The 4,708-nt window shown below is 38.6% G+C and overlaps 1 annotated feature.

Moving 5' to 3' along the window:
- Positions 487 to 1,686: an enhancer, noted in NCBI's record as "BRD4-independent group 4 enhancer chr1:118881859-118883058 (GRCh37/hg19 assembly coordinates)". NCBI's record gives its function as "activates an origin of replication core promoter dependent on BRD2, P300/CBP, MED14 and CDK7 cofactors, and independent of BRD4, by STARR-seq in HCT116 cells {active_cell/tissue: HCT116}" and the evidence as "EXISTENCE:reporter gene assay evidence [ECO:0000049][PMID:35650434]".

Genomic DNA, 4,708 nt, shown 5'->3' with positions numbered 1-4,708 from the left:
TTCTCATAAATCCAGAATCAGTGCTTTTTATTTTTAGGCAACATTTATTTTCTTTCTTGTCGTAAACCTGTTCTAGAATGTTTGGAAATAGAGATTAATATGAAGAAGATCTAAATCACCTATAGGCTTACTATCCCATGATAACCATATTTAGGAGTTTTCAACCTATGTGTATATTTTACATTGCTGAAGTCATTCTGTATGCAAAATTTTGCAACCTGAAATTTTGCATCTAACAAATTTTGAATTTTTTACACTGTAACATGTTGATTTTGGTCCTCATATGAAATTTCATTTTAAAGAAAAAGAAAGAAAAGAATCCTTCAGGTGTAATCAAGGCTGTCCTGTACCATTATAGGCAAAAAGTCCTTGAGCCTGGCATTACACAAACCAAAGGGAATGGTTTGTATCAGGCACATGGAAAACAAAATACTATGATGGCCACCTAGACTTTATTGGTTCAGGAAATGTCTAATTCATTTATTTAACTATGTAAAATCCTAATTTTTTTCACATACTGTGGGGAACAATCTGTAGTATGACCCTTATGTCTACTCTGAGACAGTGCATGATATGATAATGAAACAACTAAACAAAGCAAAGCGTTCCTGCTGAAGGGGGATGCTCATGACAGGAAAAAATGTTCCTGAGAACAGCAGAGTTCTGTTTAGCCAGGCTCACTGTGGGCAGCATCAACCTAAAAGACAGGTGAGAGAAAGCAGCCTTTTTTGTGGTTTGATTGAAGAGTCCTGGAACCTGCTCTGCCCTCTCACCCAAAGCCTAAAATGTCCCCACACCCTTTGCCCCAGAATTCCCACTGTTAGTCACTCCTTTGGAGTTACTCTACTATTACCTGACTGCCCCTGAATCAGGAGCATTTGGGAGTATTGAGTCTCAGAGCAAAGCAGGAATCCAGTTGCTAGCAGTAGACTGTAAGCCCAGAGCAGAAAGCACAAGGTTTAGTTAGAGCTGAATTTCTTGATCTTACTTACTCACTACCTGCCCTTGACAAGGTTGGTCTCAGAGAATGAAGCCAGGCTGAGGCTGCAAAAATGAGTTCTTAGCTCTGAGAATGAAGAATTATGGAAAATAATGCGACGAATAGGTCACGACCAAATTTTTTAATGGGATTGAAGGTATTGAAGAACATTGTTATAATGCACATTTGTCATTTGACTAAACCATGACTCACTTTAAGCTATAAGCTGTAATTATTGACTAAACCATTACTCACTTTAAGCTATAAGCTGTAATTAATGCCTAATGCATAATAAAGATCTAACTCATCACAAGAAGATTACACAGCTCTTGGACCAGGACCTGAGTGCACAGAAATGCAAGAAAGGATGGAAGGAAATACAGTGTGAACACTACAAGAAGGCTCTGCCCAGAGGCCTGAGCCTGAGAAGGAGCTTGGGAAGCCACAGCAGCATATAAACACTCCGTACACAGGAGTGCTGGAGGCAGAGGAGGAGCACCAAGAGGGAGCAGTGGCACACAGAACAGCATTTGCCATTGTGAATGCTGAGGAATAAAGATAGAGTTTATGCACCTAAGAAGAGACAGGCTGCTTCACACTTAGAAAAAGTAAGTTAGTAAATTGTTATTCTCAACATCATAACCATTTCATGTGTGGGTAAAACAGAAAGTTTTCCTTGGAAGCAGCAGTAAAGTTCAGCCATGGCCCAGGGCCCAGACCACTGGGCAGAGGCTCTTCCTGTTGGGAGAAAGAGCCACATTCCCCTGTTATTTGTGACAGCCTCAGGACCCACAGGCTGCCTGCAATGTGCAGACTGCATAATTCAGCACGAAGATTGCCAACAATTTTTGGCTTCAGCTTTTTTACTGGTTTTCATTTAGGAAAAATTTAAATTTTTTTCCGGACAGTTCTTGTTTTAATGAAGAAAAATTAACTTGGCAAAAGAGAGAGTGGGTGACAATGACCCAGAGAGTAATTTCAGAGCTTACCGTCCTGATTAAAACACCCAGGGCAGTCATCAGCAGTTCATTCTCACTTGGTTTGAGAGAGAAGAACATTCTGTCTTTAAGAAATGACAGTTGTTCATACTCACCAAGTCTGAAGCTAAGAAAATATTTGTGAGTTGAGATGCAGGGCTTCTGATGGTGACAAGGGGAACAGCATTACAGACTGAGTTAATAGAGGCCAAAAATTGAGGTTTAACTCCCACTTCTGTGCCACACAGATTACACCAGGATCTCTCACAGGTTACATAAATACCAGGTAGCACGGGCCACATAATCAAGTACCCAAATAAACCATAAATTGACTCAACTTATCTCATTAAATGCCTTGACAAAACCATAAACTTCTTACCACACACAGTGCTGCCCACTCCACTTCTAACAGAAAATTGGTACTAACCTTTTGAAAAAGAATTCTCCAAGCCACACATAGGGATTTGTTCATTGTCCCAGCAGAAGGTTCCATTTGGACAACAGAATATTCTCAGGTTGAAAACGTGGCCACCTTACATCTTGAGTGAGCCTTCCAGCCTGAGCCAGTGACTATGACAGGTCTGTGCTATAAACCTCATGTAGAGCCTGTGAAAAACATTCAACCATGTTTCAGCTTTTGTTCCTGAAGACTTCAATTAGGACATGTCTCCACAGCTTCTCAATTTTATTCTCCAGATACACAAAGGATGAACAGACTGGTTTTTAGTTCAAGTGACTGTGTGTGGGGAATCATCAAATACGGCACAGCTTTTGCCCCATTCAACACAATCTTCTTGAAATGGACATTTTGGCACTCAGCATTTTCTTGCTGTCTATATTCAATATGCGCTATTCCAACTCAGACCCCTTTGCCTTATACCTTGATCCACTCACTTAGCAGTTTCACTTTAAACATAAAGCAGAGGCTTTTACACTGATTTTACAACTCTATGCTTATAACCTTCTACTGTTCTCAACTACTTTGAAAAGATGTATGAAGATTTTTGCTCTATGTGACAAAACAAGTATTATTAAGGCCTGTGCAGCTATCAAGCCTCATATTTTTAGCAGAGAGCATAGCCATGAACCTCAGAGTAAACATTCAGAAAATTACTTCAATGAGTGCATAGTTATTGTAATGTAGTAAGCAGTAAGGTCATTGAATTAAAGTTAGTTTGGGTGTGTAAAACTCTATGCTACTGTCATAGTTATTATTGCCAGAAACCAAATATTTTTGTTCCCCCTTCAAGCACTTAGAAAAATTGACTAGTAAAATGTGAGTAGAATAATGTTAATTTGGGGCAGGAATCTTAAGAGCTGGGGTGCAATATGCCACCTCTCCCTTATCTTCTCTTGTGGGTGAGAAGAAATCCTCCAGGTAGAGGTTGCTCCATCATTCTCATCCTGGCATGAGAATGCTGCAAAAAGCCCCAGCTGATGCATAACAGATGTGTCATGAGAAAGAGAAGTAAACCTTTGTTGTTTTAAGTCATTGGGATTTTGGAGTTTTTACTGCAGCACAATCTAGCTTGTTCTTAATATAGCTACCTATTTTGCAGATGTGAATCTAGAATAGATAAGAAAAAGAGGCAGAACTTCTGGGTTGGGTTCTTGTTGAAGTCTTAAGTGTACTTTCAAACAAGAACACATGGTGGTCTGCTCACCCTCTTTGGCTCAGCAGTGAACTCAGAGAATTTTTGGCTCTAACAACGACAAAGTGGAAGGAGTGAGTTAGCAGGACTTATGGTTTCCTGGTGTCATTGTTTTGGTCTGATATCAAATAGCTACATGTGTGGGAGAGAAAGAAAGGACAGTACGTTGGATTGTACTAAACGTTGGATCCCACTCAATATATTTTGTTATGAGAAAAGCACGATCATCAATAGCATCAAAAACACCTGCTGAGGATTATGTAAAAGACAACAAAAGGATTTCAATTGTTTTGTGAAAAATGATTAATACTAAATGTTTAACTTTTATTTTAGGCTTGACAGTACATGTACAGGTGTGTTACATAGGTAAACTCATGTCGTGGGGGTTTGTTATACAGATTATTTCATCACTCTGGTATCTTGCTTCATGGAGATTTTTCTGTATGCATTTCTCCCTTATGTTTCTTTAGGATAAGGACAGAAATGAAATTACTAGACTATAAATTATATAGATTTTATATTTATGATATATGTAAACACATATATGTACTATATGTTGCTAAATATATTGTATTTATACATGCATATGTGTATATACATTACATACATAAAATACAGATACTGCCTTCAGAATTGTACCAATTTATATTCTTACTATCAGTGATCAGGAGTGACCATTTCCCAAATCCTAGAAAATTCAAAAAAATGTAAATCATTAAATCATTTTGTAAACTTTGACAACATTATAGATGGGAAAACTTTTATTTTCTGTGCATTTCCCTGATCACTGTGAGGCTGAATATTGGACGTAGTGAGAAGTAAAAGGTGCCCTAGATGTAGGCCAGAGGTAACCTTGTGAGAGATAACCTCAGGAAAATTAAGCTTTCCTCACTGGTGAAGTTTGTAGGGATGCAATGGTCTGGTGCATGCTGAGACATCCTCTCTAAGGTAAAGTACAAATTACTACACCTTGCACCTTCCACTACTAAAAAAGAGGCACAGGGTTTGGTGGTCCTCTTTCAACTTTGAAGGTAGCACATATCATAATTGGGAATAATGTTTTAGCCCATTTAGCAAGTGACTCAGAAGCATGTTAGTTT

Source organism: Homo sapiens, chromosome 1 (genome assembly GCF_000001405.40).
Source record: "Homo sapiens chromosome 1, GRCh38.p14 Primary Assembly".
Classification (NCBI taxonomy): domain Eukaryota; kingdom Metazoa; phylum Chordata; class Mammalia; order Primates; family Hominidae; genus Homo; species Homo sapiens.
Note: the sequence above shows the minus strand (reverse complement) of the source record. Positions and strands in the feature narration are given on the sequence as shown.